The sequence below is a fragment of the Homo sapiens genome, chromosome 18 (genome assembly GCF_000001405.40).
Source record: "Homo sapiens chromosome 18, GRCh38.p14 Primary Assembly".
Lineage (NCBI taxonomy): Eukaryota > Metazoa > Chordata > Mammalia > Primates > Hominidae > Homo > Homo sapiens.
Genome location: NC_000018.10, coordinates 33703430 through 33721332, shown reverse-complemented (window position 1 = coordinate 33721332; position 17903 = coordinate 33703430). Strand labels below are relative to the sequence as shown.

Sequence of the window (17903 nt, the reverse complement as noted above, 5' to 3'; positions counted from 1 at the left end):
CCACTTGGCCAAAATAATGGTCTCCTTTTAAATGGAACCTTTTGCTGTTATCAAGAGAACGAGAACTATCCTCCTGATCCCACCACATGACCTGTCTAAATTTCCAAATCAGCAGAGGATATAATCAATCAGATGCTGGGGAGGCTATTCCTTAGAATAAGACTGTAGGAAAGCAATTTCTTAGGCTCCAATTAACGAAAGAAAACAATTCTCTTATTCTAAGAGAAACAGGTTTCATTATAATTGCTGCTAAGGATTTCAGAATATATAATCAGGAAAGCCATATTTCAGGGATGTATGCAATGTTAAAAGCAAATGAAACAAGGAGAATATTAATATTGATTATTGAAAGGTTTCAGGTATTCAGTTTCAACTATTGTGCTTACATGGGATTTCCCTTAAGCTTTCATTCAATATTAGTTAAAACAATAATTATTTTCCAATGATATTATTCTACAGTTTAAAATTCTGACACCTTTTCTAAGAATCAATCCATTTTCAAATTCCAAAAACAGGAATTGCTCAGAAGAGATGTAGCCTGTGGCAAAATCAGTAAAAACAACTGAAATAAAGACATCTAAAGGCAAAAATAAAGCCTTTGACAGATCACACTTTCACCAGCTTCTCCACAATTAGAGAAGGGTTTGGTGTTCACAGTGTATCTACTTCATGACAAACAAACTTGTGGAGGACCTTTGGCCACATCTTGGGACATTCTGCTGGGCCTCGATGAGAAGCGATGTTTTCAAAATTGGAACAAGTTGTAGCAAATATGAGAATGTGTATGTTTTAAAAGACAACGTTTTATAATTGTATTTTCTTTAATGTTCCCTCTGTGTGTAGCAGAGGGGGAAGGGGGGAAAAAACTTCCAATGTACCCAACCATGAATACTAATGTTTTATTTAGTGAAACTCAAGCTCATGTTCTTGTATAGATAAAATAAGGTTATGTTATAATGTAGTGGGAATCAATGAATCACTGTTTCCATTTGTAATACACTGAACAGCTGTGTTTAAGTGACTATCTATTAGTCATTCCTTTCTTTAACAAACATTTCACAGCATCTACTATGTGCCAGGAACTGTGAAACAGATAGACAGCTTCTGCTGATCCAAGAGCCTTGCACCTAGAGTGGTAAAGGGTAAAATGTCTTTTTTAATAGCATGGGGCGTGCCTGAGAAGGAAAGGATGCTAGGAGAGCCCCCAAGTCTGGGTATCTAACATATCTTTAATTCCCCCTTGTAGCCTGGTAATATCTATGCCCAAAGGTAACTGTCTTAGCCTCTCCTCCCCTTTAACAATGGCCCTGATCTACTTCTTCTTCCATAAAAACGATAACTAACAACAATAATAATAGACTAACTGAGTGCTTTCAACAACCCTGAAGATGGGTGCCTTAGTCTGTCTGGTCTGCAATAACAAAGTACCATAGACTGGGCAGCTTATAAACAACAAAAATTTATTCCTCACTCCTCCGGAGGCCAGAAAATCCAAGATTAAGGTACCAGCAGATTCAGTGTCTGGGGAGGGCCTGTTTCTTGGTTCACAGATGATGTCTTCTTGCTGTTGCCTCCATGGTGGAAGGGACTAGCTAGATTTCTGGGGTTTCTTATAAGAGAACTAATCCCATTCATGAAGACTCTGTCCTCATGATCTAATCATCTCCCAAAGCTCCACCTTCTAGTAACATCACTATGGGAGTTAGGATTTCAACATATAAATTATGAGGAAACACAAACCTTCAGACTCTAGCAGTAGGTAAGCAGCAAAGTAGGATTTGACTCCCTAAAATGATACCTTTTCCATTATACCACATGACTTTCTTTAGTTAACATGCAGGCATTCATTCTTCCACTGAAAAAGTTTATATGCTAGATGCTGGAAATACAATGAACAAAGAAAGGCATGGTCCCCGTTTTATCAAGTTGTAACTATAAATGGTGTTAAGGCCTCTGAAGAAAACAGAAGTACAAGAAGGGAAAATTCTAGGTGCATGCGTGTGGAGGTAGGACTCTCCGAGGCATTTATTTCCAAGCAGAGATGTATGTGAAGGAAGGGCAGGAAAGAGCCCTAGAGTAAGGGCAGAAGGAAAAGCAACCACAGCTCCGAAAAGGGAGGTAAGGAACCTTGTTATGAAGGGAAATGATGCAAGAGTGTGGTAGCTGAAGGACTGTGTGGCATCAAGATTGTTGCTGTTGTTTTCTCCTGTTTATTTTTTGGATGGATATTCTTAGCTAACAAGAATCCACTCTCCATGGTTCAGTTTAATTTCTAAACTATGAAAAACAAACTACTTCCTAGAGTTTTTTGTGAGGATTAAATGAATAAATATATATGAAATATTTTGAATAGTGCTGGCTTACACAAAGTTCTCAACAAGCTGAGATATAATATTTATTATTTGGTAGGAGGTGTAGCAGACATACTCTAGGAGCCCCTGATGAGTCACACACTTGTAGAATTCTCTTTCATTGATTATGGGAAGGACCTATGACTTGCTTATAGCCAATAGAAAATGGAGGAGGTAATGGGCTATTACTCCCTTGATTTTTTTATATTACATAAAATGTCATCTTAGCCAAAAGGGGCAGAAATATTCTCCTGCTGGCCTTGAAGGAAAAAAAAAAAGAAAAAGAAAAAGATTGTAAACTGCCTAAGGGGATAACCTTTAAGAGCTGTGGTCTTCAGCCCCACCACTGTAAGAAAATGAATTCTGCCAGCAACTTGCATGAGCTAGGAAGAGGACCCCATGCTGCAGTTAAGAATAGAGATGTCAGTGCGCTGATTTCACCATGTTAAGATCCAGAGCAGAAGAATCAGCAAAGCTGTGCCCAGACTCCTGACCATGAAAACTAACCTCACTCACTCCCAACCGATGGAGATAATAACTGCATGCTACTTTAAGCTGATAGATTTGTGGTAATTTGTTACACAGCACAGAAAACTAATACAGGGAAGGTGAGAACAACTCATTTGGGTGCTGCTCCTTTCTTTATCAGTTGAGAGACAAAATTATATGTGTACATGAGCTGGGTATGTTTGAGTGTATGGGATATGGGTCTATGGGATACATAATAAGGGACTTCCCACAGTACTAAATGCCAAAGATGACGGATTAGAAAGAGCAGACTATAATCTCCCTGAAGGCAGGGATTTGCATAGCATGACAGAGTAGGAACTTAATTAATGTTGAAGGAACTCGTTTTGCCATGATTTAGTTGTATTTGATGCCTCTACTTAACCCTACCAGTTTTGTGATACTTTTGTTAGGGAGTATAAACAACAGATTTTATAAGGAACATATAGGTAGTAGGAGCTACTTTTAATCTTTGATGTGAAGTAACAAAGAGATACAGAAAGAAGACAATAGATTTTAGCTTTTGCTTAGGGGTTATCAATACTACAGTTACGTTACTGTTACACAACCTTCCAAAGTGCAGACAATTTATGGCTTCTTATTAAATGAATTAGCTGTGCACAAACCAGAAAACGGGAGGTAAATTCCTTCCATTTAATTTGGTATTATTTTAATTTCTGTATATCCTGGTTCCTCTATCATCCTCTAAGGCCAAAAAAACTAAACCAAACCAAAACAAAACAAAAACAATAAACCAACGCCCAGCCTCTCCCAACCCACAAAGCATCCTTCTGATGTATTCAAGACATTCCATGGTAGTCTCCTTAAGTAACCCAACAAGTCACAGTGGAAAGAGAGCTTGATTTCAAGTTAGAAAATTGGTCTACTAAGCCCAGCTCTGTTATCTTCACAGCTGTCTGAAGATGCTCCAATTTCTTAACAGCTTTGAGTGGCGGTTTGTCTCATTATTCAAATGAGGAAGTAAGCATACTTGCAATGCTGTTATATGAACTAGAAATAATAAATGCAAATAACCTAATATGCTACCTAACATATGAGGAGTAAACATTTAAAAAATTAATATATAATAATACTAAGTGCTTAGCTTGTGATCCTTTAAATCATAGCATTCTCAAATATGCCCTTAAAATGGAACACAGATATCATGATATTTAAGAAGCAACAATCAGAAGTGACTCTCTACTTTGAAACTAGGTATCACAACTGCAGAGTTTAATGTTTTGTTGCTCTAGTGCTGGCTGGTCACCCGACCTCTACTGTCACTATTATTCTACTGAGAAATCAGCTCTTTAGCCTTGAGCAAAATCAGTCCTATTACTCAGGCTATAGCTGATTGACCTAGAGATCAGTGTCGGAGCCAAAGCTGTACCAGAGACATATTACATGACTTAATTAATTAATCACCTCCTTGATGTATAGGGAACGAGAATCTGGGATACCAGAAGAGACACTGTGAGATGAACAGATACCCTAGAAATATATAACAAAAGAACAGAGGTAAATATAAATGTATGTTTAACATCACCTCCCCACTCAATTACTTTTTTTTTTTTTTTAACCAGCAAATCTCCATTTCTTGCAATCTGAGCAAGGCCAAAGTAACACAACCAGAAAGTATTACACTGAGTAATCTATTATACATTTTCCACCTTGAAGACAGTATACAGTTCATTGAAGAAAGAAATTCCATTTGCAAAGAAAGCCTAAGACCATGAAAAATGTTGGACTGCAAAGTAATTACAAGCCAACAGTTCACTTTATAGAACACTATAAGGGTACGGTTTCATAAAGACTGCAAACCAACCTTTAAATTTTCCTAACAAAATGCCAAACATGCCACCTAAATTACACCAATCCCAAACACCTACACAAAAATCCTAAAACATACAACTCTCCTATTTCATTAGTAATAGAGAAAGCCTGTCATCTGACTTTCGAAACACCTATGCCACAATTAGCAACATGTCAAACCTTCATGCTTTTACTTCCTTGTTTCCCAAAATAGATTCTATTATAGCAACTGATGAGAAGTTCCTAAGGAAATAAAGGATTTTAAGATCAATGAAGTTTGGGAAACACTATTTATACAAAGTTTAAATGTTTTCTTCACTGCAGAGCTCTGGGACTTTTACTATGCAAATGAATGTAGCATTTCCCAAACACATGAAAGCTCAGAACACTGCTCTCTATGTTCCACGGGTCTGCTTTTCTACAGATTGTGTTCACCGTAAGAAATGTTGCTGTACAGTATCTGTAAGTCAGAGCACTGGAGAATTATAAACCTAGAATCTACTTTTGCACTCTATCCCTGAATTGACACATCTTGCTAAACTTCAGTTTAATGAACTCTCAACTTACCATTAAAGGCCAGAATAAGAATTGGCCTTTATGAACAAGGTCTTTGCCCTTTTAACAAAATTGCCATTGAGACTTTATTCAAATGCTGCTTGACATGACTGACACTCAAACCAATGATTCCTTTTACTAAAAAATGAGGTCGATGTGACTTACTGTGTTTGTCTTTTGCCTTTGCTGTCTGCAATGTCTGAAATAAGTGTGTGTTCACATCCAGGCCCCTCACTCAAGAGCATTTCTGACATAATGGCTACATTCTATCCCCTTCTCTTTATTACCTACCACTCGTCTCTTTACCTATGTCTCAAAGATTTTATTTTTTGATATGTACCCCCTCAATTTTTAAATGTAAAGAGATCATAAGTAATAAAAGCAAATTTTAATACCCTCAGGTTTTCTGTAGATATTTGATTTAAAACATTATCCTTCCCAAAACTAAAGATAAAAATTAGAAACGTTATTGTTAGTAACAAAAATATTAGTCACACAAATATGATGTTTTAGAGAGTAATCACATTGAGTTTTCCAATAATTACAAATCAGCACTGGGCCCATTTCTACAGCAAAATCACCCTTCCTTCCAGTTACTGTGGCTTGATGGATAACAGAAGGCTAAGCTGAATGTGTATAATGTGTAAGTGACATTTTAAAAGTCTAATGTGAAAAGCAAAGTGATAATATGGGGCAGAATGTGTAGCCTACTATTTTTTAATATGCTAACATATATAGTAGATCTGTATATGCCAGATTGGCTTTAGAGTGTAAAGAATGAATTTGCTGAATTTTTAGAGAACCTGCTAGTTTGGAAGCAGGTAAATGAACAAGATTCTCGAAGGAACAGGGAATTTGGGAAGTTTCAACAAGGTCAAGTAGACTCAAGATAAATTAACACATCCACACATGCACAACCTAGTCATAATATTCAGCCCCAGAGTGTGGACACAATGACACTTTGAGAAGCAAGAATAAAGTAAACTATAAAGTAAAATGCAGAGGCCTCACGTGACCTTCATGTCCATTGTCCTGAGTCAGTTACTGAAGGGGGTGTACTGAGGGAGGAGCAGGGCCTTCTACCAGCTAGAAGAACCCTACACCTTCGTTCACTCTCACTGGGATTTGAAGCTTTGCAATCAGCTGTCCTTGTTAGGTAACTTTACCAATTACAAATTGAACTGAATTAAACCAGTCCACAAGAAAAAGTGGACAAGGGGTATGAAAAGGTTCCTACCCCAAAATGGATTCAAGATAACACTAATAAGCCAATTTAAACAAAAAGAAATAGAGGAGAGCAGGCACAGGTCCTTCCCCTAGTATGAATTCATGTGTGTCAGATGGAGAGAAAGACCGGGGGAGGAGAATGGGGGAAGAGTTGGGGGCCTGGTGGAACATGTACCCCACAGGTCCAGAGAATGCCATCAACTCAAGAAAGGAGTGGTGGTCTAAAGCTGAGTTGGGGAAAACGTGGACAGAATGAAAAGGGAGCTTGCTTCTTATGGGAAATACGAGAGCAATAAGAAATACCCGTGGCCTGTTTTAGAGTTAGAACGAACCATGTGTTTTGGGGCAAGTTACTGTTAATGTGAAAGTGATTAAAATAGATCTCTTAATGTTCCTTCAAGATCTAAAGTTCTATGGCATAGGTAGAGCAAAGGAAAAAATGACAATAACTAGGTTCAAAGAAGCAGCAGTTAATGAAAAGAGGGTGAAATGGAGTTAGGAAGGACCTAAGTGCTGCTGGATGAGTAGTGATTCCATGATCCCGGGACCTGCCTATATTGAATTCAATTTGAGCCCTTGGCAACGTGCTGTGCTGAAATGTAACAGAGAGACATTGTTGAGACGCAAAGCAACACAAAGTATGAACACAGAGTTTAAATGTTTTCTTCACTACAGAAAAAGAAAAAGTGACGACATCCAGGAGAAAAACTTTATAAAAATAAGAAATACCACTTGAAATGTGTCTGAGAGGGAGGGCAGTTTCCACAATTAAGGTGGATTGCTGGCCTTTTGTGGGCAAAAAGGAAAGATACAGAGGCCTTGTCATGTGCACACACTCACCCACCAGCAGGAATTGCCAGCACCTCTTATGCCATACAAATGACTCCATGGACACACATGCAAGTCAAACACCCACTATGATGACTTGAGACCAGCATGTAACACTGAAGTTTTGCATGGGTTTTAACACATACAAAATTTTCTTTCTAGGAATGTACCTAACCTGAATTTTGGGAGAACACTGCACTTTGCTGTGTTAGAACTTTTATAACGGTTGTTCACGGAAAATTATGTTATGGAAGTTACCGCTTGTGGTATTTCCATCAATATTCTACCATATGTGTATCAGTCTCTAACTGCAGCTCTTGCAATCATGGTCAGGTGATGTATACATGCAGTTATCCAGATGGCCTACGCCCCGTTATGTCAACATGGATGCTCAGGCCTGACTGCTGACATCCTAGAACACATAAGGTTTGAATATTAAACATTTCCTTTTACATAATATATGACATATATTTGATGAAGACAATGAATGAAAGCTCAGGCCGGGCACGGTGGCTCACGCCTGTAATCCCAACACTTTGGGAGGCTGAGGTGGGGGTGGACCACTTGAGGTCAGGAGTTCAAGAGCAGCCTGGCCAACATGGTCCATCTCCATGAAGAATACACAAAATTAGCCAGGCGTGGTGGCAGGTGCCTGTAATCTCAGCTACTGAGGAGGCTGAGGCAGGAGAATCACTTGAACCCGGGGGGGGGTGGAGGTTGCAGTGAGCCAAGATTGTGCCACTGCACTCCAGCCTGGGTGACGGTAAGACCCTGTCTCAAAAAAAAAAAAAAAAAAAAAAAAAACAAAACAAAACAAAAAAAACCTTCTTGTGGTAGATTGCTAACTGCCTCTCTGTATTCTCCCCCTCATTCTTGTATTGTAACAAACCCTGATTTTGTATAGTAACAAACCCTGATTTTGAGCCACACTAGAGATGATCTTTCCCAGACTCCCTTGAGGTTACTGGTGGCTGTGTCCAACTTCTCAACAAAGGAACGTGAGCACGTGTGATGTATGTAACTTGTGCACTCCTAGTGTATAGCCAGTCATTTAGCTAGAACGTGGATGAGCCAGCTTCAACCACTGAGAAGGAGTGCAATAGCCTGGCAGCAGATGGGACAAAAAGAAGAAACAGAAGTACTGCACAACTTGAAGGAGCAAAACTGCCAAACTCCCACGGATGCACTGGCTACTTGCAGACTGTTATTAGAGAGAAAAACCACTATCATGTCTAAGCTACCATTTTCTGGGACTCTTTCTTACAGCAACATAGCTTCTACCTTGACTAACACACCTTGAAAACCAACTAACAAATGCACACATACACACAAACATATAGACATACATACATGCAAAATACTGCAGAAAGTTTCAGGAGTATCCTGGATCCTTGAAGTCTTTCTTGGTATTCTGAGCTAAATATTTTATAGAAATTGGGGTAGCTAAAAAGTATCAGGAAAACTAGCTTCAAAATCATCAGAGGAGCTTTTGTTTCAGAACAATCACAAGAACACTCGTCAGCTAGTATTGTAAACTACAGGTGAAATAAGAGAGCAGTCTGAAATACAAAAGAGATTAAATGACTGGCTCCTTCCCCAATAACCTAAATTCTTTCATATCTCATCTTTATTTTCAGGCCTGCAAGCAAGTAATCTCAATGAATGTCAAAATCTATTTATAAGTGTGTCAATGTTAATGCCAGGAGCAACAATCACTTAGACTCTAAAACTGTAATACAATTTTTTTTAAATGACAGAAAGCATTAAAATACCATCATTCATATTCTCTGTCAGTAATCAAAGCTGAAATTTTAAAACAAATATATTCTACAATAAATAAATAAATGTATCAGGTGGAAAACAAACAGCCAAAATCATACTTTATGATTAACTACTATAAACAAATACAAAAGAATTTTTGCAAAATAATAGCAACTGGAGCATCAACAACAGTTCTCAAATTTTTGCCAATACATTATCTAGTTTCCCTTTAATCCTGTATCTCATCTTAAACAAATAACACCTAAAATATAATATATTGTCTGTAAACCAGAAATTGGAGGAGTACATGGAACTGTTTTCATATAGCATGAACATTTAAGAAATAAAGATTGCATATTTTATGACATTATCACCATTTTTTCCAGCAACTGCAGGAATGTCTAAAATTTTAATCTTTTTGACACAGTTTTTTATTGCTGAGTGATATATAAGTGATTAGACCAAAAATGTAAGAGTGTGAGCCCTGAGATAAATTAGCAGGGAGGCAACTGCTATGACAATACAGCCCTGGCTCTGCAAGGGATCCCCATAGCCTCTCCCAGACACCGAGTGATCTAATCACACCATATGGTCTCACCCACAGGACTCACAGGATCTGTGCGCAAACAACCAACCATCTAATTTATTCAAATGATAAAGGGGAGGAATGGCTTTTAAAATTCCAAGCTGTTTAAAAATCAGTTACCAGTGACACAATTCATTATCATAACTGAAAAATGTTTCCATTTAATTAAATAATAACCATACACTGACAAGTTAACAATTAGTCATTTGGGAATTCAGATTTTCCATAATATGATTCTTACCTCATAAAAAGAAATAAAATGCAGTTAATATATATGTTGTAAAACTCTGGACAAGAGGAGTCCAGCCAAATTTTGGAAGAAGATCACATATATTTTTAAAGCAACTTTAAGGCATATTGCACAAAATCAAATACAAAATTAAATGAGAAGAATATTCATCAAATTTGCATACAAGCGCATAAAAAAGAGAAAGCAAATGTGAATTCCATGGACATTAAAAATAAAAAATTGTCTGTTTCCCCAAAAGGAAGAGAGAAATTATGACAATAAAACAAATACAAACATCTGTTTACAATGGAAGATGTAATTTGGTTATTTAGAAATCAATGCAAGAATAACCATGATCTCTACATTCATTCTAAAATGACAAAATTGGACTCTGGGGCTAAAATATAGGAAATTAAATGGAAAATCTAAACGAAATAATTTATCTGGCAAAACAAAAAAGTGAGAACATTTTAAAATCAACCTTAGAGAAAAGAGTACAATTATATTCATAAGGCAACAGCATTTTGTATGCAAATTTATTTTATCATAACATTTTTCAAGCATTTTATAAAATAAAGGCTTTGTTCCCCCCCAAACAAAAACCCATAAAAAATTCAGTAAAGAAATAAAATTAGAAGTTTAATATGATCAAGTGAAATGAAAGTGCATATATTTTAACTATATGTTTAAAGATGATAGCTTGATGTACACTTCTGTCTTGTTTGAAAGAAGTAAAAGAGAAAGTGAAAACGGTTAACCTTCACCAATAGATCTACATCTAAATAAGTAGGAAATTCTAAATTAGATCATTAAGGACAAAAATTCAAGAAAAAATTGATATTGGTTGGAATTGATCCTATTTAAGAGTGCCTAGAAAGACAATATGTCTTTAATAAGATAAAAAGAAATGGTCTAATTTTTATGTCTTTGAGCATATTCAGAAGCACACATTCAGAAGAACAAGTTCAGAAAGCATTCCTTTACGTGAACTATGACCCACTGAAAGAGAAAACTCAAATGGAAAAATGAAGTTAATTATGGACAATTCTTTCTAGCACATACATTCTGCTGTCATAGTTTCTTACACTAAAACGATTGCCAATAACAGTTTCCTAGCTAGCCTTAGTGAAGTGCCAAAGATACAAGGTACAAGTGGGGGAAAAATAACACATTGATCAATGACCACCAGTCAGTTTTGTTTTGTTTTGTTTTTTTGAGACGGAGTTTTGCTCTTGTTGCCTAGGCTGGAGTACAGTGGTGCGATCTGATCTTGGCTCACTGCAACCTCCATCTCCTGGGTTCAAGCGATTCTCCTGCCTCAGCCTCCTGAGTAGCTGGGATTACAGGCATGTGCCACCACGCCTGACTAATTTTTGTATTGTTAGTAGAGTCTGGGTTTCTCCACGTTGGTCAGGCTGGTCTCAAACTCCTAACCTCAGGTGATCCACCCGCCTCAGCCTCCCAAAGTGCTGGGATTACAGGCATGAGCCACCGCACCCGGCCCATCAGTCAGCTTTTAAGTCAGACTTACTGTACATCCTGACAAGGAGCTAGGGGTCATGGTGGGAGTGGAAGTGATTAGGAAGCAGTGGTCAGAGTGGGGAGAAACATAACTCCAGTTGCATGTGTGACAGAACAGACTGTTCATTGCAGAGCCAAACAAGTTAGGGCGGAAGAATAGTCATTTTCTTTAATTTTTGCACATGTGACATATTTTCCTTGAAGTGTAACATATATAGAAAGTGAATGAATCATAAGCATGGCTCGAATCACTTTTACAAAATGAATACTTTTTTGTTATCAGCAACAAGATTAAGAAACAGAACATTAACAGCACTTGGAAGTGCTCCCTCCCAGGTACTAATCCCTAAGAGTAATCTAACACCACAGATTAGTTTTGCTTTTTTTGATCTTTATAAAAATGGAATTACACAGTACATACACTTTTGTATTGGGCAGTTATGCTCAACATTGTATTTGTGAGATTCATCCATGGTGTTGCATGTAGATGTCGTTTGTTCATTCTCATTGTAAATTCAAACACTGGAATACTATACAGCAATTTATTTATCCATTATGCTGTTGATAGGTATTTTGGTAGTTTCCAAGTTTTGGCTATTGTGAACACTATAGCTATAACTTTTCTGCTCATGTTTTTGTTGTTTTTTTTTTTTTGGTAAACATATCAATGATTTCCATTAGGTATAAACCTAGGGAAGAGTTTAAATGCTAGGTCAACTTTAATAAATACTGTCAAACCATTTTTCAAAGAAGCAGTTCACTCCCACCAATAGAGTTCTATTTGCTTCACTTCTTCACCAACATTTGTTATTGCCAATATTTGCTTTTTATATTTATGTATGTTTGTTTTTCATCCTCCTGGTCAAGCAGTTGTATTACACTGTGGTTTCATTTATGTTTACTTGATGACTAATGAAGCTGAGCAAATTTTCATATGTTTATCGGCCATTTAGATATTATATCAAGAGCTACCTCATGTATGTTTTCCCAATTGATAGAAATTATTAGCATTAATGAGTGACTGTAGCAAAATTGTTCAATCATAATATAACTGATTGATTAAAGTCAATGTCATTGCTAAATGTTAGCACCAAATATAAAATTAAATTTTGGAAAATTATATATAACCACATGAAAAATACCTTGGAATAAATAAATTCAAACGAAAGATGTGTGAGATCTCTACGTAAGTGGTTCTTCAATCTCTTAGCCTTGGGGAATTTTTCCTCCTGGAACCATTTGGCAATTTCTAGAGAATACTTTTGATTGTTAGGGACTGGAGGCAGGGGATGCTAGTTATGTCTAGTAGGTAGAGGCCAGGTATGCTGGTAAATATCCTATAAGGACAGGTAACCATCCCCAAGTCCATCCCCCACCACAGAGGATTATCCAGTACAAAATCAGAAGATGGGAGAGGGTGTTATATAGTACTTATGGACTGGAAGACTCAATATTATATACATGTCAGAGTGTACAAAGAAACTCTCCAGAGTGAAAGATATGTCCATTATTTTGATTTTGATAATGGTTCCATTGAGTGTGTTTATATGTCAAAGTTTATCAACATGTACACATTCAATATGCATGCTATTTTACATCAATAGAGCTGTTAATTTTTTTATTCCCAGAAACAATTTATGAAAACTGAGACGATAGAAAAGTTCTACAACTATTAAAGAAATTGAGTCGGTAATTAAAAGTTTTCCCAAAAAGATCTCTAGTCTAGCTAACTTTACGAGTATAGTTTTCCTAACATGTTGAAAAGATATAAATCTTACACAAACTTTGGCATCAGATAGAATATTTACTAGCTAATTTTAAGAAAGCATCATTACTTGTATTACCAAAAACCATCAAAGACATTTTAAAAAACGAATATTACAGGCCAATCTCCACTTGATCAAAACTGTAAAAATTTACAACAAAATATTAGCAAACTGCATTTACATGAGCATGCATGGGCATGTGTATGTAAGTTCATTCTAGGAATAAAAGGATCATTTAATATCTAAAACAATTGGTCATTTATCACATTAATATAATAAAGAAGAAATCATCTTAAGAGATACAGAAAGCACTGTTTGTGATTAAAACTGAGAAAACAAGGAATGGAAGGAAATTTCCTTAATATGACAGAAAGCATCTATAAAATATATCTGCTTTAAGCATCCTGCATAAAGATGAAATAATAAAATCTTTAAACCGAAGTTTAAAAACAAGATATAGATGCCACCTATCACCACTTGTCTTCAACACTATACCAAAGATATTATCCAGTGAAATAAGGCAAGAAAGGTATAAGCATTTAAAAATAATACATAAAACTGTAATTATTATAAACAATATAACTCTGTGTATTGACTGAGAGGATAAAAAACCATACACTATTAAAATTAATACGTGAATTAGCACATTCACTGGAAAAAAATCAATATATAAAAATTGATTTGTATATCAACAAAAATAGCAACAATTTATAATACCAGCAAAAATCAGCAAAGACACAGGAACAAATTGATCAAATGATGTACTACCTTTCCTAAGGGAACTATGAAATATTGAGAGAAATTAAGGAAGACCTAAATAAATGGAAAGACAAGTTATGGTCATGGATTGGAAGATTCAATGTGGCAAAAGTTTCAATTCTTCCCTAAGTTGTTCTATATATTAGATGCAATCCATAACCAAAATTCCTGTGCTTTTAGGAACATTGACATTATTATTCTAAAATTTCTATGAAAATACAAAGGGCTTCTAATCAAAGAAAAAGAACAAAGATAGTGAGCTACCTCTACAAGATATCAAGCTACGAATAATCAAGATAACATGGTTTTGGTGTAAGGACAGACAAACAGACCAATGCAAAGGAACAGTGTCTATAAATAGATGCTCACATATAAGGTCAATTGTTATGACAAATGTAACATTACACTGTGGGGGTGGGGGGAAGAATGACCTTTTAAATAAGATATGTTTGGTCAACTGGATATGCATCTAAAACAAATTAATCTCTATCTCATGTCATACTCAGGTGGTTTGTAGATATAAATCTAAATGTAGCATAAGTACATCTCTTTACATGATGCGAATAGACAATATATTAAGACAAATAAGCAAATTGGAGTACATTAAAATTAAGAACTTCTCTTCATCAAATGACAACACTTAGAGAATCAAAAGACAAACCACAACATAAGAAGATACCAACAATATATTTGACAAAGGACTTATACTCTGAATTTATAAGATCTGACACAAATCAACAAGAAAAAGATGACCCAATAAAAAAAATACACTAAAGACTGGAACTGGTAATATACAAATGGGGATATCCAAGTATCCAAAAATGTGTCAAGTGTTGCTTAACCTCATTAGTCATCAGATAAATGCAAACTAAAACCACTATGAACAATTGTAAAGTTTGATAATATCCAGTCCTCGTAAGGATGCTGAATACCATAAATGTTCACATATCACTGGTGGCAATATGAACTGGTGTAATTATTTTGAGAAAGTATTTAAGATAGTTTAATACTATCTTGAAAAGCTGAATCTATGCATACTCTATGACCCAACAATTAGACTTGTAGTCATATATCTCAAAAAATTTTGTATTTAGGTGGACCAAAATCATAGCTACTGAAATGTCCATGGAAGCAAAACCATAAATACCAAAATGTCCATGTTATCTTGATTATTGGTAGCCTGATATCTTGTTGAGGTAGCTCTTTGATCTTTTTCCTTGGTTTTTAGAAGCCCTTTGTATTTTCACAGAAATTTTAGAATAATAGTATCAATGTTCCTAAAAGTACAGCTACTAAAAGTACTCCAAAATGAAAAAAAAAAAAGTGCATCAAGAGAATAAGGAATTATTATGTCACTCAATGGAAATACTACACAGCAATGAGAACTGTTGCTACACACAACAAAATTATCTAAATACAACAGAGTACATACTGAATGATTCCAGTATATAAAGTTCAAAAACAGACAAAAGTAGTTGATGGTGAAAAAAGTCAGGATAGTAGGTTCTTTTGTGTGGGTATTAACTAAAACGGCAACGGGAGTTTCCAAAATGCTAGGGTATGTTCTCTCTTTTTAAAAAATCTGGATGCCAGTTATAAGGATATGCTACCATTTTAGAAAAAATCATTAAGCTGTACAGCTATCAGGTGGGCACTTATCTGTATGCATGCTGCATTCCAATAAAACTTTCACACAAAAATAAATGAATGATTATTTTTTCCTTCCATAATTTCTTCACTTTCATGAATAACTGATCTGTAGAACAATAAAGATAAATACAGTAGTTGAGGAACATTTGGCATTCATAATATCAGAAACGGACAGGGAAAATTTGGAGCTTGTTGAATATAATGTGGGTCTTATATTTTTCTGCAATTACCTGTAGTTTGGCATATATTAAAAATAAAAAATATACAGAGTTCATACTTGATTTTGCTGCTGAAAATGGCTCATTTTATATAAATTAGAAGTTTGTAACAGTTAACTGATCATGCTTTAAAATTTAGTAAATTGTCACACACGTTTGATATAAGGAAAATATTTTCAGTTAAATTAAAAAAAAAAACAAAAAACACATTTTCCAAACACTCGTTTGGGAAATGGGTCTATATAAAGTTGGTGGGATGGTATCCCAATACTGATTCTTCCCCAGTGAAATAAATATGTAGTAGACATTAAAAACATAATAAATGGTAGCTTCATTGTTATCTTATGTTATCTTCTGTATTATAAATTTTATGCATGCATATTTTAAGATATCCAGAAAACAAAAATATTAATCTCTTAAGAATCAACTGTATATTGAAGTATTAAAATATATTAATATGATAAATATACCTAAGCTATTAAACATGTCAAATAATATCTGAATATTAATAATAGCTTATTCAATCTTGTTTAACCAATTTTTCTTGGCTTCTTTCCTTTCCTGTCAATAGAATTTCTGAATGGATAAAACATTAAAAGAAAAATTTAACTAAGAACACAGATGACAGAAAGTAACACTCTGGAAACTATCCCAAAAGGAGATTAAAGAAACTGGGTAAACTGAACCACTTAAAACATTTCCTCAACCTTCCATCAAAACAACCTTTCTATACTCACCATTTATTTAATGATACTTCTAACGTATAAAACACAATATTTAAATAATCAGGATCTTGGTACTAAAATATTAATGAATAAAAACGAATCTGTACAGGCTTAACACAACATTACTCTAGGCAAGAAAATCATATTCTAAATATCATTAACATCTTTGACTTCACACATTATCAATGGCAATGCTTGTGTTTTAAAATACTGTACCATTTTCTAAGTTTGCATATCTGACTGCTTCTAGATTATAAAATGTTGAGCACAGGCACTATATCTACTCATTAATTTTAATCCCCAATGGCTGTCAAAGAAATGGGACACTTATGAGTAGCAAAATGCATTTGTATTATTGTGATCACTTAAAACCTACCATAATACATAATGATAAAATAAAGGTAAAAATCAAAAGAAATGGTCTTCTTTGAGGACACAGTACTTTAAACAATTACTTATTAAAATAGGTACTTATAATGGAAACTGTCAACCTCCCTGTGTTAATGACAATCTATACTTTAATATAATTCTTTTTTCAGAGGCATCTGTAATATCAAAAAGCTTGACAAACTGCAACTTTTCTTGAATGTGAAATGTAACTTAATAGGAAAGAATATAAAGGAGTTTTTGTGAGGTGTTTTTAGTCATAGAAATAAGACGTTAATATGAATTTCATTAAAAAATAATTATTGAGTACCTACTACATTATAGCACATATTGAAATATGCATACACTACTAATATGTCACTTTTTGGAAAAGAGCAGTTTATTTAACAAATGCCTTTGGCATACTTGGAAATCTAGCACAGGAAAACAAATTGAAACCAAAATTTATTACCATATAAAAAAGTTACATAAAAAATCTAAAGGTAGTAGAGTTATTCTTCCAGAATGGTGGTGTGGGAAGCTCTGTGGAACTGTTCCCCGGAGAATCCATCATAATGGTAAAAAATATTTTTAAAATTACCCAGTTAGAGTATCTGGAATTTGCCCTAAGAGCATATAACAAATGAAGAAACAGTTATTCAAAAATTCTGCTAAATCTTGGAAACTACTGCAAGAATCTGTGTCACTTAAGTTCTGACCCATCCATTCCACCCAATAGATTCATGTGAGGGAAGCTCCTCTCCAGGCAATTTTGGCCAAAAAGTGAGGAGAGGGATGGGGGTGGGGGTTGGGGGGGAGTGATTTATCCTCCCTCAATTCCCAGTCAGTTGACACAGTAATTCAATGGGAGAGGCAGAGGCAGGTCCGCAGCATTTCTCATCCCTTCCAACTTCGAGTTCCAAAGGCTAAATACCTGGCAAGTACAACCAAGAGGTCAAGGGCTCCTTTCTTTTGGGCAGTGGGCCACTGTAGGGTGGTGGCTCCACCGCATGAGTGACAGGCCAAGAATACTAGGGCCTTT

At 35.4% G+C, this 17903-nt stretch overlaps 1 protein-coding gene across 8 annotated transcripts in view, besides 1 other annotated feature; it reads right to left on the bottom strand.

The window, feature by feature from the left end:
• ASXL3 (ASXL transcriptional regulator 3) overlaps positions 1–17903 on the bottom strand; it is a 172977-nt gene that overhangs the window by 29863 nt on the left and 125211 nt on the right. The window lies entirely within an intron of this gene.
• Positions 5114–5163: an enhancer, noted in NCBI's record as "active region_13213". NCBI's record gives its function as "activates an Ori minimal core promoter by ATAC-STARR-seq in GM12878 lymphoblastoid cells {active_cell/tissue: GM12878}" and the evidence as "EXISTENCE:reporter gene assay evidence [ECO:0000049][PMID:35858748]".